The sequence below is a fragment of the Homo sapiens genome, chromosome 16, assembly GCF_000001405.40.
Source record: "Homo sapiens chromosome 16, GRCh38.p14 Primary Assembly".
Classification (NCBI taxonomy): domain Eukaryota; kingdom Metazoa; phylum Chordata; class Mammalia; order Primates; family Hominidae; genus Homo; species Homo sapiens.
The window spans coordinates 78,474,369-78,500,276 of NC_000016.10; the positions used below are offsets into that span (position 1 = coordinate 78,474,369).

The 25,908-nt window shown below is 41.7% G+C and overlaps 1 protein-coding gene and 1 long non-coding RNA gene across 3 annotated transcripts in view, besides 1 other annotated feature; one reads left to right on the forward strand and one right to left on the reverse strand.

Annotated features, from left to right (window-relative positions):
• The window catches only part of WWOX (WW domain containing oxidoreductase), a 1,113,014-nt gene that overhangs the window by 374,715 nt on the left and 712,391 nt on the right, over nucleotides 1-25,908 (forward strand). The gene's annotated exons all lie outside the window — the stretch shown is intronic.
• Nucleotides 193-25,668, reverse strand: WWOX-AS2 (WWOX antisense RNA 2). Its single transcript, XR_007065129.1, has 2 exons — nucleotides 25,581-25,668; nucleotides 193-22,063 (listed from the first exon to the last, which is right to left on the reverse strand). It is a non-coding gene; the product is annotated as a WWOX antisense RNA 2 (long non-coding RNA).
• Nucleotides 2,343-3,679: an enhancer, noted in NCBI's record as "VISTA enhancer hs12". NCBI's record gives its function as "enhancer in: hindbrain (rhombencephalon)[9/11] | forebrain[9/11]" and the evidence as "EXISTENCE:transgenic organism evidence [ECO:0001131][PMID:17130149]".

Sequence of the window (25,908 nt, forward strand, 5' to 3'; positions counted from 1 at the left end):
CGATGCACTCTCTAAACCGATCATCACAGAAGATATTTTGTAGTGATGAAGAAAGCTTAAATGTCTCATTTGTCAGATTGGTTTAGGTAGAAAATAAGGATTTCCACCCCCTCATCGTGGTTCCCTTTTAGATTTTCTTGTTTGCTTTTCTTTAAAGCTGCTGTTACTCAAACGACAGTCCGTAAACTGCACTTTATTTTTTATAACAGCTTTATTGAGAGATAATTTACATGCTATACAATTCATGCATTTAAAGTGTACAATTCAATGGCTCAGTCTATTCAGAGTTGTGCAACCATTGCCACAGTCAGTTTTCTTACCTGAAGGAGAAAGCCTGCACCCCATATTTTTTACCTCCCATTCTCCACTTCAACTCTTCCCCAGCCTCTGCGAACCGCTAGTCTGCTCTTCATCTCCATGCGTTTGTATATTCTGGACATTTCTCATTAATGGGCTCACACGATATGTGGTTCTTTGTGAGTGGTCCTTTCACTTTGCATGCATCATGTTTTCAAGATACTGCACCTAATTTTTCAGTTCCTTGTTTTTTCTTACAAATACATTTTTCAAAATGAGTAAACATATGTACAAAAATATTTAATTTATTTAGGCACGCCAGGTTTATGAGATTCATCTTTGTAGCCACCAAGAGCCACTAACAGTGCTAACATAGCCAGGCATTCTAAATGTGTTTGTCAGGTGCATAAATCTGTGACTGATAAAACCACTGCTCATTACTTGGTTCTTAAACTCTCCCTCAATATAGCTGTAGGGACATGCAAAACAAAGGCTGGCTCATTAATAGGATATGTCTAGAGTTCTGCTTTAGAAATCATAATGTGGACATCATTGATTTCTCTGATGCTGGAAGCTGCTGCTGCTTCTTCATCTTTATCTTCTCCTCCCTGTGTATTGAGAGCAGGGACCTCCTTGTGCTGTTTTGGGCTCTCCTTGTTCACCCAGATTGGCTGCATCAGCACCTTCTTAAAATATTAGTGTTGCTGAGATAGGAGCTTTTGGTAGATGGATAAACTGGGATTTGTAAATATTTTGCTTAGTTTTTTTCCCAGAGTTTTGCAGAAGAGAATAAGGTGTTGGTTTGTTATAAGGTGGTCCTTTATAAAGTTTAGACCTATTTTAATAAGGCTGACTTGGGTTGAAGATAACTAGAGCCATGACTTTCATCTTGATGGACAATGAGTACTCACTCTACTTTTTTAGTTTATATTTTTATTTTAGTTCATTTCATTTAAGACAGCGTCTGTTACCCAGGCTGGAGTGCAGTGACATGATCTCGGCTCACTGCAACCTACACCTTCTGGGTTCAAGTGATTCTGATGTCTCAGCCTCCCCAGTAGCTGGGATTACAGGCATGTGCCACCACACCGGCTAATTTTATGCATTTTTAGTAGAGACGCGTTTCACCATGTTAGCCAGGCTGGTCTTGAACTCCTGAATTCAAATGATCTGCCCACCTCAACCTCCCAAAATGCTGCGATTACATTTTAAAACTCTACCTTTTAAAAATTAGAACCTGGACAAAGAGGTATTAAAGAATGTGTCTCTTATTAATTTATTATGGTAATGAGAAGAGTTTGGATTTGGACCTACCTAGGTTTTTCTTTCCTCCAGCTCCGCCACCCCAACTCCTTACTCATGCTTCCTCTGTAAAATGATCACTCCCCAGTTTGACAGGAATTGCCCCTGGAATCCCATCTGGTGTTCTAATTGTTACCAAATCCAGGCAAATCTTGCCTGTGATACAGGTGGTGAAGCTACTGGATAGAACTGGAGCATCTAACTGGTGTGAGATGGTATCTCATTGTGGTTTTGATTTGCATTTCTCTGATGGCCAGTGATGATGAGCATTGTTTCATGTGTCTGTTGGCTGCATAAATGTCTTCTTTTGAGAAGTGTCTGATCATATCCTTCGCCCACTTGGGTGGATGAAGCTGGAAACCATCATTCTCAGCAAACTGTTGCAAGGACAAAAAACCAAACACCGCATGTTCTCACTCATAGGTGGGAATTGAACAATGAGAACAGTTGGACACAGGAAGGGGAACATCACACACCGGGGCCTGTTGTGGGGTGCGGGGAGGGGAGAGGGATAGCATTAGGAGATATACCTAATGTAAATGACGAGTTAATGGGTGCAGCACACCAACACAGCACATGTCTACATATGTAACAAACCTGCACGTTGTGCACATGTACCCTAGAACTGAAAATATAATAAAAAATACATATTAAAAAAAAAAAGAACTGGAGCATCGACTTTCGTTTTCATTTCAAGACCCGTCCCCCATGATCACAGAGGATGAAAAGTCTGCTTAAATTATAAGCTAGCTAATTGCTTCTTCAGTTGAAGACCTAAATGAGTTTTAAAGTGAAATGCATATCTCTAAGGGCTAAGTAGCCAACACAATAGGCAATTGAGATAGGAAAGACTAATTTAGAAAAGGTTGTTTTGTTCGTTTTTCTTTTTCCTTCCCTCCCTTCCTGATTTCCCATCTTCTTCCTCCCTCTTCTCTCCCCTCTCCCCCTTCTCCTTTCCGTCCTTCCTCCTTCAGTTCCCTCTTTCCTCTTTTTCACCCTTTTATTTAACATTATAAATACGATGGGATTGTGTCTGCGCTTTTGTTGGTAATTAAATAAATTATTTATACATTTAACACAATCTTGAATTACCAGGTGATCATCTTAGGCACTCAAAAGCATAAGAGCCCTTGAAAGCAATATCTAAGCATAGATATTCCATAGCACGTCTTACAATCTAAATATTGCTTTTAGTGTAATCGAAGCAGCAAGAGTAGTCACAGCAGTTGATGGACTATTTTTCAAATTGATTTCAAAAATGTATTTAAGGGGATGATCTTCTAGTCTAGATTACCTATTGATTTTTAATATGAAAAGCTCATTATGTAAGCAGTAACCGCATATAAAAACCTAGCAAACCTTTGCATAAATCCTTTAATTGAATTTCCAGAGCCTGTGGTTCTACTTTTTTTTTAATTAAATCTATTTCTTTTTTTAAGTGTTACTGTGTAATTTGCATGCTGTGAAGAGGCCCTGTCCCAGATAAAGTGCCATTGATCCTTATTAAACCTCACCTCTGGGCTTGCTTAAAACTAACTGGAAAAATTAAAGTGTTCATGCCGCAATGCACTTATAGCTTGTGTGATAGGATTATGGAAAAAATAATAAAACTAATTTCCAGGGGAGAATTTCTAATGTGAGATTTTATTTTTTTTCAATTTGATAATTAATAGTGAAATCATATCATATATATAAATCATATTTTAGCCTATAAACTGAAATGGCAATTAGGAAAGATAATATATACTTGATGTAAAACCATGTTACGTGCGGATAATCTTTTAGCACTTTAATTTTTTAATTGTAGAAGGAGAGAATTATGAATTCAAGTCAAACACATTAAATGGTGGGTTTCATCCAAAAAATCTGATTCTTTTACTATGTACTGTATTAGTGGATTTATAATATTAGTGGGAGGAAGTATAAAAGATATGGAAAAAGATATTCTGGTTATGTTCGTGCTAAAATGTGTGTATTAGAATTACCAGGGGAAAGAAAAATATAAAAGCTGCAATAGGTTTTTCTATTTTTTAATACCTAACATTTGTTATTTTAAAAGCAATAAAATCCCCTAAAGAAATATTCGTAATCAATAAGAACACAAAATATGGAATATATTAACTGAGTTATAAAAATGTTTGTAGTATAGCACAGAATGAAAAACACAGCAAGGTATGTACGGTTTAAAGTGTAATCAATTTTGAGGTTGTATACAAGGATATAAATGATAAATACAAGTAGTAGCATTTTTAGTAAAGGCTGTTACAAAATACTGTATTTATGGCCTATTCCATTCTTTTTATAGCTCATTAATGTAGAAAACAAACACAGTGTATCCATCTTCTCAGACGGTTTAAAATTCCCTTAAATGATGTTTTTAAATGTAAATAACTGAGCTCATTTGATCTGGTTCTTCCTTAAGCCAATGTTAGCATGAATGGCCATATTTACCACCCCGGGGTTCCTTTTCAGACTCCGGAAAGAAAAAGCGATGATAATGACGTATTTCCCTCCCTTCCACAAAACAGGGCCAGGTGTAACACACTAAGAACAAATGGCTTGGCAGCCTACTCTCCTCTCTCGAAGCTCCATGCCCACCTTGCTGTTGCACCCCCCACCCCAAGGAAAGCCTTCCCACCTTTGGAAGCTGCATTAATTATTCCAGGCCACAAGGGTGCCGTTGAGTTACTGGTTCACTGCACTGGCTGGCAGGAAAGAGTTTTAATGCAGGCTCCAAAGGTGCTTAATTTCCTGTGGTCCTTATGAATATGCATACAGTATGTGCTCAGCAATCTAGCAGTTCAAACTAGACAGCTGGTTCTGGTGGTGAGGGTTTTTTAAATTTATTTTTTATTTATTTATTTTTTCTCTCCCCTTTCCTTGGACAAGCCCTTTCTGAATAAGCTGAATCTGTAGTATAATTTCATTAACTCATTTCCAGTATTTAATTTGGTTTTGATATTTCCATCATGGCCCCTTTTCTCCTTTGATTTTGTCATTCTGTAGAAGTTGATAATCTGTATTATGATCAACAAGGCATATTGCCATGACTGTAGGAATCACCAATTTAGATATCCAGGCTTCCTAAAATATAAGTAAGTCAGATTTAGCATTACTGTTTTCCTGAATGTAGGAGTATTTGGAAAAGGAAAAAAAAATAAACATACATCTTGGAAAGCAGAGAAAGGTGTTTTGTTTTCTTTCTGTTTGGATTAACATATTCTCCATCACTGTGTAACTTCATCCAATACGTATTGAATACCTACTATGTGTCTGGCACCACTTCAGACAGTAAGGATATGGATATGAATTTGTATCAGTCAAGCCTTCCAGGATCTTATTATCTAGAGAGAAAGATTAAAACATATGCAAATAATTTTGATAGAAGCAAAGACCTAACTCAGCCTGAGAGGAGGTTGGGTTTAGAGAATGCTTTCATTGTAATGTTTTAAAGCTTTTTATTTATAACTATAGTTTATTTGGACTTTATGATTTACCAAGTAACTTTAGATGCAAATATGGTAGTACTGTGAAGATTATGGTTTTTGAATGAAGTCACTTTGTGGCATGATGGTATAGAATAAGATATTTTCATAGTGAAAATGGAGATAAGACATGTCCCATTCCCTAGAATAGACTGTCACTGCTCTCGTTGCCTCCAAGGAGGAAACTGTTATAGGAATGATTGACATGGAGGTTCATCTGTAGAATATGGACAGCCCTCTACAAATTGGGAACAAGGGCCAGGACACGAAATATAGTGACAGCCTCTGGCCTGGGAGTCTAGACAGTGGTCAAAGGCAGGATTCATGGAGTTTTCCAAGATAAGATTCAAGACCCAAACTATGAATGAAAGCCAGGCTGAGGCTGGCACCAAGTAGAGGCCTCCAATAATGTTGACCCAGCGGGGCTGCATTGTTCACTGCCCCCTCCTGGGAAGGAGGAACCAATGACAATGGAGCATCTAAGAGACAAGAGAAAGGGAGTGTAAAGGTGAGGATTCCATGGCTTTACACTCCAGAAACTCAGGCTAGCTTGTTCTCACTGAAGCAGTCATACCTTCTCGAAGGCAACTAGGTGGATTACAGAATTGTGCTGGGTCCTATGGAGTGTCAGAAATAGTGAAGCTTCTGGAGCTTCACTGTCCAATATGGTAGCCACGTGTGACTATTAAAATGTAAATTAATTAAAATTAAAAGTTCAATTGCTCTGAAATAGCAGCCACATTTCAAATCTTCAGTAGCCAGATGTGGTTATTGGCTACCATATTGGGTAGCACCGATATAGAACATTTCTACCATAGTAGAATGCTCTTTTGGATACATCTGCTTTAAAGCATTAGTCCCCAAAGTGTGAAGGATGAACCACTTGGGTTCCGAGAGGAAACATTATAACTTCTGTTTATCCATTAAACTCTTTCATTTATTATTAAACATCTCAACACATTTATTGGGTGGCAGGTACTGTTTTAAGTGTTTTGCATATATTTACATGTACTGTCCTTTCAAATATTCTTTGAAATAGGACTATTGTTGTCCATATTTCACAGATGAGGAAAGAGATGTGCTAAGAAAAGAGGTGGCAGAGTAGGGATTCCAGCTCAGTAGCCACTTTCAGGGTCCCGTACTTTTCAATGTAAGCATATTGGCTCTCAATTTAAAAATGTTATTTTTTACAGATAGTACACAGATGCACTGACACAGGTACCCTCTCCAGTCCTCTGATGGTCAGGAATTGTGTGCAGTATGCAGTACATTCCAAAGTCAGGCTGGCCATTTCCCCAGGGAGAGGGTCCATGTTGGAACCTTTGCTCCTTGTGGACTTTAGCTTTGAAATGTATTGTAGTTTTGCATGTGTGCTTAGTTGGATGGATTGAGACATCAGATTATGTGGTCTGAACTAAAGCAACCGTCACAGAATGAACAAGAGACTTACAAACATTTGTGCAAAAAGATCAGTGTTTGGATATAGTTCTTAGAATAGCAAATAGTAAGAAAAGAGCAGGATTGGTACTTCACCTACTCCTAATAAAAGCCCTTCATCTTGTGCAAAGTAAACACAATCACAGTTTGATCAGAAGTGGTCAATGGAAAAACAAAAATCTAAATTAGCAAAGAGAAATTTGAAATTGCATGCATTATTTTTAAAGATGAACATTGCTTTAACCTATACCATTCCTGGAGGTAGTAGCTAATAGAATGATCCAAGTTTATAATTTGTAAATAAGTAGACATCTTTTGAGGCGTATGCCCTTAATTTTTCTAACTGATGAAAGCGTACTTCCATCAACTCAAGACAGTTCAAAGCAGCTTGGAGCCTCTTGGATTTTAAAAAGACTCTGTGGCCTCTGTCTCTCTTGGTTTTCAGTGCTCAGCTGAGGTCTACTCTGTTTATCCTCTGCCTACTAGAAGGATATCCTTTCAATAGAGGTGAAAATCCTGAAATAAAAGGTTTCATAAATGGGGAAAAAAGTCATTGATTGAAAGAGTCATGGCATAGATGCTGAAGTTTTGATGGGAACTTTGCAGGATGTTCGTTTGTTTATCATTAGCCCTGGGAGAGTCATCCCTCACCTCCCACCACCCCTTAATTTAAAGGGATTTAAAATATTTTCAAGTACATCCTGATATCAGCACGTGGTACACTGAGCCTAGTTGATGGAATTGTGAAAAAAAAAAAGAATGTTTTCCCAACAATTTGGCTGTATTTGCCAGAACTGTTTCAAGAATGCTATGACTTTTGCTCAGGGCAAGGGAAGTGTGTGTGTGTGTGTGTGTGTGTGTGTGTGTGTGTGTGTGCGCGCGCCTGCATGTGTACTGTGGATGTGATAAGAGCTGTGTTTGTGAAAACTGTGAAGACATAACACATATCTATGAACCTTTTCTATTAATCTTCTTGGGGCTGGAGCTTTAAAATAAAATAAATAACTTTTCTGCAGAGAGAGAACCTTTCCTTACCCAAAGATTTCGTAACTTTCTCACATCCTTGGTTAAGGCTGAGCTGCCTAGCTGTCTGCATTTCTGATAGGTTTTGCTTTCATACACATTTCAAGGACTTAAGAAATCTGTTTCTAAAGAATAACTTAGAATGTGCTTGTTATGGTCCCACCTATTCTGGGGAATAGGTGGATATTATACATTTATTTAGGTGGAATGGTGGGTCAGATGGCTTCATGTCTTTTTACATCACAGTTCCACAGCCCTCATTAGTGAAGCAGAGGTTGAAGGAGGTCACTTGCTTTTTATCCCAATGTCAAATAACTCCATAATTTTTTTTATTATTTTTTGAGACAGAGTCTTGCTCTTTTGGCCAGGCTAGAGTGCAGTGGCGCGATCTTGGCTCACTGCAACCTCTGTCGATTCTCCTTCCTCGGCCTCCGTAGTAGTCAGGACTACAGGCATGCACCACCATAGCTGGCTAATTTTTGTATTTTTAGTTAGACACCAGGTTTCACCATGTTAGCCATGCTGGCCTCGAACTCCTCACTTCAGGTGATCTGACTGCCTTGGCCTCCGAAAGTGCTGGGATGACAGGCGTGAGCTGCCTTGCCTAGCCAAATAACTCCATTATTTAAGAAAAATTAACCAGTATTTATTGAATACTTACTGGGCCCTGTGCTAAGTGCTTTGCATGTGATTTCTAATTTCCTGACCATTCTATGAAGTGGCTACTATAATTATCCTGATTTCCCAGGCAGAGAAACTGAGGCTTAGAGAGTTGAAGTAATCAACTGGGTGTTAAAAAGCTGGTAAGTGGCAGAGCACTTATTGGCGCTAAGACTGTTTCTCAGGACCTTGTTGTACGAGAGTCAACGATAAGACGCAGAACGTATGTTTCATTTTTCTTGGGAAGGATCTATCTCACTCATCTGCCTTCCTGTGTCTAGCAAGAGGGCCAGGCACATAAAATACACATGGTACAATCTGTTAAAAGGCATGAAAAAGAAACAGTCATTCATATCTGTTCGTAGAAGTGGGCGTCAAGATTTTGGGGCACTGAGATCTATGCATGTTGTGGGCCCACTTTAAGAAAAGGAGTCAAACATTTAGTGTGGAATACTGGAAGGGGTCCCTAGACATGAAGGGCCTCTTCAACCTACCTTTTGTTGGCTTCAAGGTTATGCCATATTTTGCAAAGTCAAGTTGGAGATGGCTCTCGATATGCATGAGTGTGTTAGACTGCTTTTCTTCTATTTTTTAAAAATGCACCCAAATGTAAAAGATACTTTTACCTTTTTGATTTGATGTTGAAGGTCATTTGAAAAATACTCTGTCTTTATTCTTTGAAATGGATTTACTCTCAAGAAAGTTGCATGTCACTTTACTTGGAAGAGACGGGTCTCAGTGAGGTGTGCCTCCGCTTTCATGAAAAGTCTCCCGTCTGCAGAAGCATTGGCTGACATGGAAGATTTTTTTTTTTTTTAATACTTTTCTTTTTGCCGGCATCTGCGTAGAATTTTTTTTTTTTTTTTTGGTAGTTTCTTAATGGTCTTTAGCAAAGGAAGTAAGTGACACTGATCGGTGAAGGCAGACAGTAAGATTTATAATGTATTTGTGCTAGCTGATTGCCAACAGAACCGGCCTTTCCCAGTGGTGCTGTACGCAGACTCGGAAAATCAATAGGGATTAACCTTTGACCCCCTTCACATACTTATACTGTGGGCTGCATCGCTTACCAATATTTCATCTGTTTCACTTAGCTGCTGTTACTTACTCAATAATGTGTGGCCAATCTCACAAGATACTAATTCTTTTTTTCAAATGCAGCATCGCTTGAAGCTGTGATAAAATATCACACCTTTGGAAATCAAGGCTCTTCTTGTTTATTTATTTAACTCACATTAATTAGCCTTAATTTAAAAAAAATGAGAAGAGCCAGCATCATGATGCAAGCATTGACTTTGCTCACAAAAACATCTTGTGGTCAACAGTGGGGCTTAGGGGGCAGGTTTTGTGGCTGTGACAGAACACGTGGCCCCTAGTGTGTCTGTTGAAAGATGGGCCCCTTTCAGGAAAATGGCTTACCTTACTTTTTAGACATAATTTTTGTTTTCTGTTAAAGGGTCAGTTATAGATAAGTATGCTCCCTTGCAATGAAATGAACCCACTTTATCAATTTTGAAGGAATCAAAATTAACTTGAATACATTGTCTTTTTGCATATGTATGTAGTGCTTTGTATAAACATATGAATTTGTAGGAGCTGCTCTTAATGATTATTACTGCATAGGCTGGAATAGAAGCAAAATTTGCAGTAATACTTTTGTACCTTTCTCTTTAGGCCTTGGCATATATTAAAGTACTATACATTTGTCTTAAAAATTGAAATTGTAGATTATTTTCATCTAAGACCCTTTTGTTCACAGATTTTTTTTTCCAAGTATACCTATTCCCCAGAGTTTACTTACAGTTTGCTATTGATCCAGCAGCTGGTATTTGAATTGGTCGATATACTCTGTAACTTGTTTAAGATACCCTACCTGAGCTATTAGTTTAAATAATGTATTCATAAATTGATTAATCATTACAGTAAGACTTATTAGCTGCATTTATATCTGCGTGTTATCCACAATTGACTTATAGTCTAATAATCACGTATACTTAAGCAGAAGTTGGGTTTTACGTTACAATTTAATAATTATCAAGGTGGCAAACGGTAGTATTTGTGTGTAGAAGTTGAGTGGATGTGGGGCTTTAAAGGCAGGAGTCTCTAAGCAGGTTGCTAATTTTACTTTTCCTAGATAAAATAATTCTCTCTCCCAAAATGAAATACAGGAAGTGGACCAAATTGTGTCAGCCTGAAAGAAGTGATTGAGTTTGCGGAAGCTGTCCTGAAGTCGAGGTTCTGGAAGATGGGTGGGGTGGGGGGAAGCGAATGTGAAGTGCCATTGCATTTGTCTCCATTTCTGTCCCAGTTACATCAAGGCTGGGAGGAGGTCTTTCCACTGGTTTTCCGGGCTGTTTGTGTACTACACAGCCTGTGTACCTGGCAAGGCACGCTCTGCTCTGCCCTGCCTTCTGATGAGCTGACTAACACCTTATAGATGAGGTTCCCTTAGAACCAAAGATGCCCCATGAAACTCCCTAGGATGAATGTTGGAAGTCCTTCCAACTGGGATTCCCAGCCGGAAAGGAAACAGTTCATCTGACTACAGGGTTTAGGTTTACATGTACTTTAAAAAAAAAAATTAATAAAGTTTATTTTTACAGTAATTTTAAGTTCACAGCAAAACTGAGTGGGAAGTGTAGAGTTTCATATACTCCCTGTCCTCACACATGCACAGCCTCCTCCAGCTATGCACATTTTCAATGAAACTACATGTTCATTGAAAATGATCTTTTGGGTGGTTGATGTTCGATTTTGGCTCTGTGTTGGGCCTGCCCAGTGAGGTCCTTTTGACTCCCTAAGGAACCCTGTTTTGGGTTTCTTTTGAGGTTGAAGATATTTCAGACTCTTTCCCCCTCAACTTCCATAGGAACCAAACTCTCTTTCTTCCTCCCGTTTGGTTGGAAAGTTATTTTGCCTCACTGCGTGATTTTTCTACTGCACCAACTCCCCTTTCAAACGTTATTCCACAACATACTAAATTAATGTATACTGTGTTCTTTGGGTAATGGGGAGGGGAGCCTGTCTCACAGCACGCATTTGTTCAGCTCTGTGTTGAAAGAGCACTGCCCGCCGCGTGAAGGACATCTGCTCACAAGTGAGCAATTGTGCTTCTGATTTGGGGCAGCACCTTTGCTTGAACGCTGGCTCCAGATGAAAGAACAGATTGCCGCGGAGCCGCTTTTCCAAGGATCCCTCTCCCCAGCATGGGGCTTCATACATTATTGAGAGCAAACCTACTTTCCACCGCCACTCCTGGATGCACTTATTTTGCGAGCCTTATTCAGAATGTCAGCATGGATCACTTGGCGACAAAGGCCTAAAGGGCAAGCCAGGAAGCTTCCATGGATACGTTATTTATGGTGTTTAATTATTATTGTACAGATTTATTAAATGACTCTGTTACCTAGGAGTCCATGTAGTTGCTGAAAAGAGTTTGCTAACTTTGAATCGTAGATGTTTTATCTGAAAACAAAATTTCCTTGTGAATGCTGTTACCATATTCCTGGTGTCTATGTGAGGGGGTGTGTGGTGGTATGCCGGTAAGTGTTGAACAACCTGCTCTGTTGGCGGGAACTAGGGGAAACAAACCCTGTTTTGTAGTATTTGCTGATTACTGTGGTGTAAATACTCACACCTTGGCTGATTTCAAGTTGCAGCTTGGAACTTGGAGTTAGAAAGAGATGTGTAGTCCCATACCATTTTATGTATGTAAAGTATTTGCACTATGCCGACTAATAGACATAAATAACCTCATGAGCATAGATAATAGTCACATCTACTAAGATTATTCAGAAGTATTGAGCTTTGAGTATGTTTTACCTTTTTAATATAGCTTATTGAATCATACATTTATCTACTTTAATACTTAATAATGAGTGTGCCCAACAACTAGGTCTTAAAGTTCCTGATAGTTTAGCAGTGTGCTCTCTTAAGCCAGTCGGACCTGGTTGTTGTACACTACTGGGTGTGTTTAATTGACTTCCAGTTTTGTTTTGTTTTGTTTTGTTTTGTTTTGTTTTGAAACAGTCTCACTCTGTCGCCCAGGCTGGAGTGTAGTGGTGTGATCTCCGCTCACTGCAGCCTCTGCCTCCTGGGTTTAAGGAATTCTCTGCCTTAGCCTCCCGCGTAGCTGGGATTACAGGTGCATGCCACCATGCCCAGCTGATTTTTGTATTTTCAGTTGAGATAAGGGTTTACTGTCTTGGCCAGGCTGGTCTTGAACTCCTGACTTCGTGATCCACTCGCCTCGGCCTCCCAAAGTGCTGGGATTACAGGCATGAGCCACCGCCCCCGACCATTGTCTGTCAGGTTTAAATTGCACCTTGGGTTCGGGTGAAGTTGATGATCTATTCCTAATGCAGGCTCATTCCTAACAGGGCATCCCTGCACAATTTTCCGCTGGGGTGTGATGAGCTGCTTCGCATCCTGCTAAGTGTCCTCGACAGCGAGCAGACACATGTACCCTGCTTGGTACATGCCAGATGATTCTGTTGTAGTGATATTAAGGACAACAGTATTTTGCCAGAAGCTATAACGAGATGATTCTATAACAACAGCATGGTGACATCAGACTATGTTTTGCAATTTTCTTTAATATTTATGCTGGATAAATAATTTATCTTTTTTCTCAGTTTTTTTTCCCTTTTCTTTTTTTTTCTCCCCATCTTGAACATGTTGCTGTAGACAGGTGCTAGGTTTCCCTGAATGACTAAAGCAGAGATTTGGTTATTTTCCTCCCAGAAAAAGTAGATGCATCAGCAGAGTTGAGCCCCTGGGCATTATTTCCCCAATTCCGTATCCCATCTACTAATACAAACTAATGAGATCTATTAAGGATGAGTCCACAAGTTTGAAGGGAGTCTCTTACTAATGTTCCGTCTTTGCATGGTGTTACAACAGCGGGACCATTTTACACTGAGGGTTTGCGAGAGGCATGGCTCCCCTGTTATGTATTTGGGACTTACTGCAGATGCTTCCTCTGGTTCAGGGTGTTGAGGCTTCGTGCTGTTAATATTGGAAGGTGGGTCATTTGTACTGGGCATCTGTCCTGTATCTTGGAGATGTTTAGTAACATCCCTGACCTCTAGCCATTAGATACCATCTCTCCCAGTAGGGATAATAAAAACATGTCTCCAGATGTTGGCAAATGTCTGGCCTTCTGGGGAGTAAAATGGCCCCTGGTTGGAAACTAGTGTTCCAGAGCTACATTCTTAGCTGCTTACTGCATCATTGTTTTTAGCCCTCCTTTTCTCTGGCTTCCAGGAACCACCAATCCCCCAACACTAGGATAGGGCATAAGGCAACCTTATGTCACCAAATTAATGTCCGCCTAGGCAAGCTGGACTGCAGAAAGAAAAGCAGTATTTCTACCCTAGGATCATTATCCCACCTTCCCCAAGCTTCGAAAGAGGTACAGGAGTCCTCAGAAATGGGGCTTCTAAAATAAGTGGAACTGGGACCTCTTCTCTCTCAGGCTGTTACTTGTTGTGGTTCCAGCCTATTTTCTGAGCTGTGGAGCAGGGAGGGATCTCACAGGAAACTTGGTAATGTAGATTTTGGAGGACTTGAAAGGTTCCTGCTACCTTTGGCTGGGGATGGAGGGAACATGGAAGATGGGTCTTTGTTTAGAGGAAGCTCTTTATCCTGGTACGCTGGAAGTTGGCATAGTCTTAGCAGTTAGTCCAGATGTGAATTTCAGGATTATTCTGTGAGTCTTCCAAGTCCTGTCTCAGCAGTGAAATAGGCTCAGTGTAGCTTATGTCTAGGTGGCTGAGTTCATTTTCTAGTCTAGGTAAAGGGCACCTCCTGTAATTGAATTGTGTAAAACCTGCACAGTGGTACACCTGAGCCCTTTTTTAGGACCCAAGAGTGCTGAGATTGGCTCTTCCTGAGATTCCCTCTTTAAGGATAAGACTTTCTGATTTTTCAACTGGATTTACCATTGTGGCATCTGCACATGAGCAGACTGACTGCTTTTTGGCCCTACCTGGAGCCTGGGTCCTCAGGTAGCTGACCCGAGAGACCGTGGAGCTGCTTGTGATATACAATGTCAGTGCTCTGAGCTCATTAGGCGTCATCTGAGACAGTGGCTGTAGGGGAGGGGAGGTAGGCTCTGAGTCAAGCAGACCTGGAATTTTCTTTATGGGCCATTAGGAACTGTGTGACGCTGGGGCATCTGACTTCACCTTTCTGAGTCTTAGTTTCCTTACCTGTTGAATAGGTCTAATGATATCATTATGGCAGATCAGTGGGACGATTGAGTCAAATAACATGCCCAATGCCTGTTTCTCAGAGTAGGCTTTCAGTGGGCCACATCTGTTGTCACTATTATTTTGTTCTTTCTGCCATTTGGGATGTGCTTTCTGATAATGGCACTAGGCTGCCTTGTTGCCTCCTGCATGTAGAACACAGAACTTCGCAGTCTCTGCAGAGTGTCTAAATCCTGCTCTGGGCCAGCCCTTTCAGAAACACTTCAGGAGATCAATAGTTATCTGCTTACCTTTCTAGCTGAGATGAGATTTTATGCTTGTTACTAGCAGATCAATAGTGAAAGCAGGTTCTGTTAAGTTTTTTATAGGAGTCATTAATCTCCCTCAGCCTCAGTTTCCCTATCTGTGAAGTGAGTCTAACCAGGATGATAATGAAGAGTTAGGTCAAGTGAGGTTGGCAGCCAGACACCCACCACCAGCTGTAACATAAGAACAGATGTTCTCTCCAGACCCCCAGGTCAGCTGAGGTCGCTCTGCTTGGAATAATGAACTGCCACATTGAGGATTTTTTTCCTCTCTTTACTTGGCCAAATATCCGAGTGTGGAAGCTCTCACTGTGAACCTGCTAACATACATTTCAGTGTCTACAAAATGTCTTTTGAGAGAAAACAGCAGGGACATTCGTGAGCTCTTTTTTTTTTCTAACCACTTTCCCAGTGAGACTTCAGTTTTCATTCTCCCCTTAGCAGCTTTCAAATATGTACGTAACACAAATGTTACATGTTTGAGCATTTAAACTGAATTTGGACAGGGCTTCTATTTCCAGAACCTTCTAACTCTATTTCTTTGTGACCTGATAGTCTTGCTCTCCAGGGTAAAAGAAGAGGATGGAAATGGCTGTGGGGCGCCTGAGCTGGGCCCTGGCATGATGGCAAGATGCCGTTCTGGGTTCACTGGGATGGCTCAAGGGGAGTTTGGAAACCCTCCTAACATGTCATCTGAAATCTGGGACCACAGTTCCGGCTGGAACACTTGTCACTAAAGCTGCTGATAAGCAAAGGGTGTATCACTGGTATGGGTAACAGTTGTGGGAGGAGGAGGGGTCTGACAGATAGCCGGATGATTTTAATGTTTATATTCCACTGGGGTAAGCTCTAACAAAGACCCATCATTTCCCAGATAACCAATTCTTTTAAAAGAACATCTGTTGAAACTGGCAATTTACATTCTTCTTAAAATACGGAGCGACATAATTAACCCTCTGGGGAGACTAATATTAGTTTATTAGAGACAATTTCTAGTTCTGTTTATTTTTAACACTAAACGATTTGTTCAGATTGGGGAAAAAATTTTTTTTTTTTTTTTGGTTGTGGTGGCGTTGGCTTTTACTTGGGGTTGACCTTTCCTTATCAAGGACGTACAAGGTGAATAGCTGGGTGATAATATATGGTCCCATGATCATCAACCAAGCACCAACGGAAGCCTTTTGGAAGTGCACAGTATTGTTTAACACACAAATAACTCAGCGTTTAGTAACTTTCAGGTACAATCAGTCTATTTTAAAGGGACCTCATGTGTTATTCATGTATGTGCACATGTGTTTATGCAGTTACCTTTGTCTTCATTGATTTGGACTCCTTTGGTGCTCGTAATTGGTGAAATTCTCTTGTGATCATTGTTGTAGTTCCCGCAAATCTATTTACGGTTTTCACAAGGAGGTCACGAACATGCGTTGTTTTCAATGCTGGGCTAGTTTCAGACTTCTGGCTTGTTGTGGGACGGAGGAGAAAGAAGACAGGGCATTTTGATGTGGCCCAGAGACCAAATGAAACAAACGATCCTCTGATTGCTCAGATGTCCTCTTTGACTTGGAAAGCACCCACGTGAATGTTGAACCATTTGGCCCTCAGTTCTCCGTCCTGCAGCAAACTGCATTGACTCCTGTTTTCTACACAGTGGTCTTCAGCTACACCTTACCAAGCACCCCTTACCCAGCAAACGTGGCTTCTCTTCCCCAGGCAGAGCAGTCCGTTACTTAGACTAGGAAATGGCTCCGAGAAGCTCACCCATCACCATTTGCTCTACTGCAAAACAGGACTCATTAGCAGGAGCTCATAAAATGAAACTGGCAGTGAGCTCATATGGAAGAGGCATCACGGGCAACTCGGCTTGGCTCACCAGCCCCTGAGCTGCCCCCGAGTGACCGCTCCAGCCTTCTTTCCTTCCACCTCTCCCTCTTGGCCAACTTCATGCTTCAGCCAAAGTGAACTGAGCTCACCAGGCTGAGTCATCTGTGCCAGCTGTGCCCTCTCCCCGAGGCTGCCTGCCATGCTCGTGCTTTCTTGTCTATTGGCAAAAGGCTCTCCATCCTTCAAAATCCAGCTCTTGGCCTCATATCTTCCACAAAGCCTTCCCAGACCTTTACTCACCTGGGCCATTAATCACCTTCCCTCTCAGTCAGCTGCTACACCATGAGTGCTTTTGTATCGTGACTGTCTGGTTACAAGGTCATCTTTTCCCCTGGATGAGACGCCCCTTGGGGAAAGGACCAAGTTTTATTCCCTGTTTAACCTTGGCCTGACAACCTAATAGGTGCTCAGTGAACAGTTCTTGAATTTAATTCTCTCCCTTTCCCCACACTGATGGGTATTTAAGCTCCAGTGGTACTCGATGTGTTGTTTTCTTTGTTCTTTTTTTTGAGACAGGGTTTTGCTGTCACCCAGGCTGGAGTGCAGTGGCAGAGTCTCTGTGCACTGCAGCCTCCGCCTCCCAGGTTCAAGTGATCCTCCTACCTCAGCCTCCTGAGTAGCTGGGACTACAGTTGTGCGCTACCACACCTGGCTACCGTGTCTTGTTTTCAATGCAGTATATAAGAGGGTGCATTGTGTACCTGTGGGAGTGATTACAGAATCCCATCAAAATGGGAATCACTGACTGAAAACTGGAGTTTATTTGTAAGCTGGGAGATGGGAGCTGAATTTGAAACCCCAGGAGAAAATAGCATATAAAGTCATTTTAAATAACTATCATTTGCAGAGGAGGGGGGCACAGATGCCTCCAGTGGCCCAAGACTCCCCTTTACACATTGCCGTTCCCTTGCCTTCTACTCCTCTTTTCATTACCCTTATCAAGATTCTGCAGCCCAGGGTGCTGCTTGTTGATGGACATCTTCACCTGACTTTCTCCCTGGTCCAGGTGCATTTTAAGCATGGAAGGTGACACTTGCCATTCTCAATGGACAAAGGGAGTGGGGGTGTGGGGGTGTGCTTTGGGGTTAGTCTCTGGGTTTTCGAAACTTAGCATTCTCAGATTCCCAGCCAACTGGTTTCACATGACAAGTAAATGAGCAACCTGGAAGATGAGTGGCGTTTCCACACACAGGGAAGCAGATAGTTCCATTAGGTGACAGTGTGTGCACAGTTTATGGAGGATGAAGCGGGAAACCTGAGCCACAAGGCAGTAGAGGTTGGACGAGACACTCATTCCGAAGGCGGGTGTGTATGTGCAAACTGTATAATTTTTTTCTTCTTTTCTATCTGCTAGCAAAGTGGGTAAGTTGACCCATGACATCGTCCACTGGAGGGACCACATTTGTGACTCTAGCAATTAAGCCTCCCTTCTCATCTGTGGATAAAACTGACCTCCCAGTGTGCTGGAGTCAAACATATTCAGCATCCAATCCACATTGGACTGTTTGCATGTAACGTACAGAACACTCATTCATCTACATCTAGGACCATAACAGCGAGCAGGAGACAGTCCCTGACCCTGGGGACTAAGCCCAGGACCTGCCACTAGGAGATATTCATGGAATCACTGTTTCTCCTCCTTTTCAAAGAAGACTGAATTTATGATGAAACTTTCTTCGTATATTGGCTTTGAGAAATTCTGTTTTGGTGCTTATGTGCTCTGGATAATTCTCAATGACTTTCAAAGTTATGATTCAGGGAGTAATTGGTTCTGAGAGAATATGCATAATCACATCAAGGTGTGTTTGTTTTCCACCATTTGTAGCCTTTTGACAAATTTCTGGGGGCCTCATGCCTGCTAGGCCGAATACTTGTGTCCCTTGAGCCTGGAGACGGCAAGTACCCAGTGTGCATGCATGCACTCCCAAAGTCCTTTATTCACGACAGACATCACTAATCAATCAGTCATGCTTAGCATACTACTCCAAGTAGTCATTACTAATCATCTCTAGTCAGCATGGGAGATACTCTTTACCATCCCGGTAAAGTGACGTTTTGATGAAAACAGCATGGATCTTCCTGCAGAGAACAGACTAGCCCCCTGTACAGCACACAACTCGGGGAATTTTAGGTTTGGTGATTTACTGCTGTTGGAGCCTGGACTTCTTCCTGGGAGAAGGCTCGAAAAACTTCATGTCAGTTACTTAATGGAATAATACATGTTTCCTGCTTCCATTGTCTTCCTGGACCTGACACTCACTCTTTAACCATAAGCAGAAGACACATACACAAATGTCCTATGTTAAGAATCTTTATTTAAGACAGGTGGCTAGCATTATTTGGGTCCAGAAGCTTCCCTGGAAAGAAAGGATTCACTGCAAGATCGACAGGCTTACCCAGTTCATTTAGGCGTGGCTTGATTTATGCACACAAAGCTTTGGGAACATATCAGTCACATCAAGCTAGGTCCACCTGTGTGAGTAACTAACGTGTTTATTTATGATTTTCTTTAACAGCACAGAAGAGCAATTGCATTTGGTCATTCTAGTATCAACTGAGTTCTTTATAAAATATCTTTGGGGTGTTTAAGGAGAATTATTCTTTTTACAAGTTCTGATTAATGACACCGCAAAAATGAAAATAATGAGCTAATATGTATCTAGTACTTGCTATGCACTTATATGTATAGAAGCGTATAATCCACAGCACTCCTTCTGAATACGTTACGTAAATGGAACCCTCGCAACAGTCTTACCCCCATTGTAGAGATGAGAAAACTGAGGCATACAGAAGAGATGGAACTAGGCCAAGAGCATAGAGGTGGAATTGTTGTGTGAGCCTGTAGAGTCCGTGTTCTTACCCACTGCATGATGTCTGATCATCGTCAATTTTCTTTCCATTTGGATAGATGAATGGTAATACTTCCCTACTAGGTAGAGCAATGATTCCAGAAGTTTATAATAATTGGAAAGTGTATTAGTCGATTCTCACACTGCTATAAAGACATTCCTGAGACTGGGAAATTTATAAAGAAGGGAGGTTTAGTTGGCTCGTGGTTCTGCAGACTGTATAGGCTTCTGCCTCTCGGGAGGCCTCAGGAAACTTACAGTTATGGCAGAAGGTGAAGGGGAAGCAGGTAATGTCTTCACATGGCTGGCAGTGGAGGAAGAGAGAAAGTAGGGAGGTGCTAGATGCTTTTAAACAAACAGATCTCAGGAGAACTCTTTCACAAGACAGCACTAGGGGGATGGTGATTAGAAAGCACCTCATGATCCCGTCTAGTTCCTGCAGAGAACAGATTAGCCCCCTATGCAGCACACACCTTTGTGAGGTCCCTTCTCCAACACAGGGATTACAATTCAACCTGAGACGTGGGTGGGGACACAGAGCCAAACCACACTGGAAGGTAAAAAAGTTGGCAACCAGAGGCTTAGAGGAGGTTCAAATCTCAAAGTGATGTCTTTCCTTTTGCATTTTGGATGGTTTAATAAATAAGATTGATACAAACACAAGCATTAAGCAAACAAAAGGAAATAAAAACGGCAACAAATAAAACTTCTGTGCTTTTTGAAATTCTGTTTTTGGCAGGCAACATTCCAAAGATCTTTTTCATTTAAAGTCCAGGAGTCTTCTGTGTGAACCCCACACAGGTACCTTGGAAAGACTGCATCTCCTGGATTTTGCATGGTTCTGGCTTAATGGACAACATATCAGTCATTTTTTGAGGAAAATAAATTTAAGGCTTGGTCATCGGTCCTTGAGTCAGCACATTGAGCGTTTTGTCAATTAGCTCCTCCCCCCATCTTTATGGTATGGCTTTTCCTGTAATTACAGTCAAGATCCTATAGCCGGAGGAAGGCCTGTCAATTGAGTAAGAGGCTGATGTTCATCGCACAGTGACAGCCCATTCGGAGGGTTTTAGGCCTGTCCTTAGAGAGGCTTGTTATTTCCTCTTTCGGTACTTTGTTGCAACCCAGCTCACCGCCATCAGATGAGTGGAGGTTTCTTATGCTGTGGCGAAACCCAGGGGGTCAAGCCCCTCGGACATGACGTACTGCAAAGTGAGGATGTTTCATTGATTTATATTTTTAAAATTAAAAATAATTATTTAAGCTGCATCTGTGTGCTTATAAGAAAAGATATAGAAAGATTAGTAGTAGACTGTTGTGTTCTTTTTTTTTTTTTTGAGATAGACTCTTGCCTGTCGCCCAGGTTGCAGTGCGGTGGCATGATCTCGGCTCACTGCAACTTTTGCCTCCTAGATTCAAGCGATTCTCCTGCCTCAGCCTTCTGAGTAGCTGGGATTACAGGCGCCCGCCACCACACCCAGCTAATTTTTGTATTTTTAGTATAGACGGGGTTTCACCATGTTAGCCAGGCTGGTCTCGAACTCTTGACCTCAGGTGATCTGCCCGCCTTGGCCTCCCAAAGTGCTGGGATTACAGGCGTGAGCCACTGCACCTGGCCAGTAGTAGACTTTTGATAGGGTTTTTTTTCTCAAGGTGTAGATTTGGCTAGGAAGTCATAGAAAATGGTCTTTTTTTTTTTTTTTGGAGATGGAGTCTCACTTTGTCACCTAGGCTGGAGTGCAGTGGTGTGATCTCAGCTCACTGCAACCTCCACCTCCTGGGTTCAAGTGACTCTCTTGCCTCAACCTCCCGAGTAGCTGGGACTACAGGCCAACGCCACGGCACCTGGCTAATTTTTGTATTTTTAGTAGAGCCGGGGTTTCACCATGTTGGCCAGGGTGGTCTCGAACTCCTGACCTCAAATGATTCCCTGCCTCCACCTCCCAAAGTGCTGGGATTATAGGTGTGGGCCACTGTGCCCGGCCAGGAAGATGGTCATGTTTTACTTTGAACCAATCTGTGCTTGGTTTATTTTTTTCAGTGAGTGTGGATTACGTTTATAATTTTCGGTTACTAGTTAGGTAAAGAATAAAAATTAATAAACACATTTATAGTTCTCAGAGATTCCTTGAGAGAGGAACATCTTTAAACGGATAACCACAGTCTTCTAAACACCTGAAAGGGTGTCTTTTGCTGAACTATGGAGTTTTAGTTTTGCTTTAGAATTTTTGGATGATTAGACTTGTACTTCTTTTAGGCTATTTTTCCACCTGGTACTATTTGGCTTTACTGACTGCCCTCATTCCCCATACACCACCTTGTTTTGTTCAGATTCCCCTAAATCTTCATTCTCGTCCCACCTCCCCATCACTCCTGACTACTTGAAACACGACTTCTGTCCTCAGAAGGCAGCAGTGTTCCCTCCTCCCGTTCATTTTTCATTTTCCCGTTGCTTAAAAAAATCAAGCATATGTTTGCAGTCATCACTGATGTTCTGCCTCCTCTTCTAAAGTTATAGATGAGTGCCAAGTTGGCAGAGCATGTAGAAAGATCACTGCAGATGTCCTTGTCGTGTTGACCTTATTGGAGAATTTCCTATCTGTGATGACCTGTAAATGGAATTTAAGGGAGGAATCAAACGTGTTAGCACGGGGTTGGCATTGCGTGGCTGTTTTCAATTAACTTGACCACTATGATAACATCAAAGGTGTGTGTACCATTCTATGACCATTGAATCTCCATGGACATGTTTTGGGAAATGGATTTGTCCCATTACACTGCTTTCTTTAGTGCATAAGATCTTGAAGGGAGGGATGCATTCTATGCACCCCAAGTTTCTGGTTTACTCGTGGTTTCAGGTGTCCCTTTAGACAACATCACTGACAACTCACTATGTAAAACCAAACAAATTATTAGCTTTCTTACTGTGTGTTTGCATTTGCTGTGCCCAGGGAAATGGGAAGTGCATTGAGGAAGAGGCCCCAAGACATGGAGAAGTCACTCCAACTTTCCGGAAACCCCTTTTGCTGTGCCATGTGCATGGAAGGAGAGGAATGAATGACTGTTGAAGCCAGATGGCCTTGCTCATTGATTCTCTCCTTTCCCGCCCTCTCAAGCCATCCAGAAGGAGAATGAAATGCTCAAATCAAGGGAGTTAACTATGGCAAAGATGTTAGTAATGGGAAACTTTGGAGGAAGGCAAAGTCAGAAATTATTCTGCAGGGAGATTTGGGGATGTTGGATGCTAAGGCCCAAGCCGTCTATTGTATGCCTTTTGCTTTGGCATAAAACAACAGATGACCTTCTGTTAGGTGTATGTCTGCTCATGCTTGAGAGTGGTGGTGTTTGGAAAGACTCAATAGCATATGCACATGAGGAAGTTGACCAAATGATTCCACAGCACATACTCATTTTTTTGCTCTGATTCTAGCTTTTCCTCCAATTTTATTCAGAATTTGTTCTTTTCTTACCTCACACCATATAGAAAAATCAACTCAAAGTGGATTGGAGACTTAAACATAAGATCTGACAGTGTAAAATTAGTAGAAGAAAACAAGGAGGAAAGCTCCATGACACTGGTCTGCACAATGAGTGTTTTTGTATATGAACCGAAAAACAGGTAGCAAAAGCAAAAATAGACAACTGGGATTACAACAATCTAAAAAATTTCTTTACAGAAAGGAAGCAATGAACAGAGTGAAGCAGCATCCTACAGAAAGAGAATATTTGCAAACCACACATGTGATAAGGGGTTAATATTCAAAATGTACACACAGCGTAAATGCAAGAAAAGAATCTGATGTAAAAATGGCCCTTCCAACATCTAGCATTATTGTGTGTTGAATAAATACTTGTTTGATTAGGTCTAATCACTCTTCATGATTGGATTTCCAAAATGTGGACTCTCAGCAGGACATTACAGGGACAGTGGTTGGGTCTGGAGATGTCACCCTTAGCTGTTTTTCACAATGAGAGGTTGTTTTATCATAAATAAATCAATAAATGGTAGATTATACACCGGAGTTACTGAGAATTATAAAAAAATTAAAAAAGCCCACATTTTAAAGGGAATTTGGTATTTTTAACAAAGCATCAGGGGGCTGGGAGCAGTAGCTCACGCCTGTAATGACAGCACTTTGGGAGGCCGAGGTGGGCGGATCACAAGATCGGGAGATCGAGACCATCCTGGCTAACATGGTGAAATGCTGTCTCTACTAAAAATACAAAAAGAAATTAGCTGTGCGTGGTGGCGGGCGCCTGTAGTCCCAGCTACTTGGGAGGCTGAGGCAGGAGAATGGCATGAACATGGGAGGTGGAGCTTGCAGTGAGCCGAGATTGTGCCACTGCACTCCAGCCTGGGCAACAGAGCAAGACTCCATCTCAAAAAAAAAAAAAAGAAAAAAAAGCATCAGGGTTGTCACCATGAAGCAGGAGGAGAAAAATAATGCTGTTAGACTTCTTAAAGCGTATTTTGTGGTTTATTTTATTGCTCTGTAAATTGCAGGCTGTAATTCATGGGGCTCAGGCCAGTGATTTCACAGTTGATAGACCAGGCACATCTCTTCCCACCCCTTCCCCACCTAGGGGCAAGGTTTTCAGGAAGAGCCCCTTTTCTAAACCACACATGGCCTGCTCACAAATCTTATGATAAAACTCTACCCACTGAGAAGCACAAGGTGTGAGGCTATTGATGAGGAGTTGAAGGTGACAGAGACCGAGAAAGTGCTGCACACCTTTGGCCTAAAGGGTAATGAGCAACACACAAGGATTGGGAGATGTTCATGGCAAGAAAAATTCAGAAGGGACATTGTTGTTTCACTAATTCTGTAAAGGAGAGCAGCGGCATTTACTTAGGCCGATTCCCCATTCTCTCTTTCTGTTTTTAAACAGAGACAGATCTTGCTCTGTTGCCCAGGCTGGAGTGCAGTGGCATGATGGCATGATCATAGTTCACTATAATCTCGAACTCCTGGTTTCAAGTAGTCTTCCTGCCTTGGCCTCCCAAAATGCTAGGAATACAGGCAGGAGCCACTGTTACTGGTCTGTTTTTTTTCCTTAAATACATAGGCAACTTCCTCGATTGTCTCTCCTTTATTGGCATTGAGAGATAAGCACAATAATGATTGTTAAGATGGAATATTATGAAGGCTCAAGGAATACTTCTGAAGGCTTTTTGTCTATGAAGTACACGAGGTTTCTTAATAGTTTGGCCTCTGGCAAAAATGGTTTTATTGTAGTTTCATCCTTGTTGAGTCAATAATTAACTGAGTTTGATTAAAGCTGAATTTTCCTAAGTATGAAAACCATGTGGGCCCTTCTCTTTCCTCGTGATGCACGGTGATAGTGCGTATCTAACACTTGAAGGTGTCCACGCTGGCCCTAGCTCAGTGAGATGGCTTTGCTTTGGGGGGGTGAGGGGGCGGAGGTGGTGGAAAGGCAGCAAGCTACGATGTTCTTATGTGTGTGGCCTTGCTTCTGGTGGTGGGGTGGCACACATGCTCTGTAGTCTTTCTGGATGGGTTTGGCCCACGGGAGACCCCCTGGCTGTCCACCAGCCCCTTTGTGATAGTCTCATAGTCTTATTTGTCTTTTGGCTTGTATCCCACCTGTTCACTTTTTACCATAGCTAACCTTTCTAAGTGGTCAGGTGGGACTCATGGAGATTTTCCGTTCTTTGGCAACTAGCAGCGACTGCAGATTACTCATCAGCTGTCTCCTTGAGTCCACAATGCCGGGCGGTGGACGGGCTTCCTGCCTCCTGGCCCAGGGCCCCTTTGCCGGCTCTTAGTGTAGAGCACTAGTTGTACCATCTGGTAGTTGTTTGTGCCTGCGACTCTCTTCCCTATTAGGCTTTGACTCCTTAAGGATAAGAACCATGTCTTATTTTTTTTAATCTGTAGCTCCAGTATCCAGCCCAGGACTTGACACCAGCCTCTGTCAAATACATCCGTGGAACGCATTTGTAAGAAATCGAGGCCAAGGCACTGGAAGTCCCATTGTCTCTGGATGCTGAGACCTTGAATTTCATGCCATGGACCCCTCCCTTACATTCCGTCTTTAATGTGCTATAAATAGACATTCCTGGCCTTGCCTAAATAGGATTAAGTAGTACCAAATGGTCCTTACCGTTCTGAGGCCTCACTGAGACTCATTTTGAATCTTTAAAGAAAGCAGTAGAGGGATGGAGAAGAAGTGGGTCAAAACCTGGTTTCTGCCTGTGGGAAAATACAAAACAACACAACAGCAAAGCAGACTAGCATGGTTCAAAGCACACATTGAGGTTTTTGGTGTGCCATTCTAATGCATGAGCTCATTTTGAGCCAAGGATAGCTTTTTGGTGTAGAATTTTGCCAGTCCTACGGTCAATGCAGTACTAATTGTGTGTGTGACTTTGTGCAGTGGGGAAAGGTGGGGCTTTAAAATAAAACAGAAGGTATGAATTGCTTGGCATTTG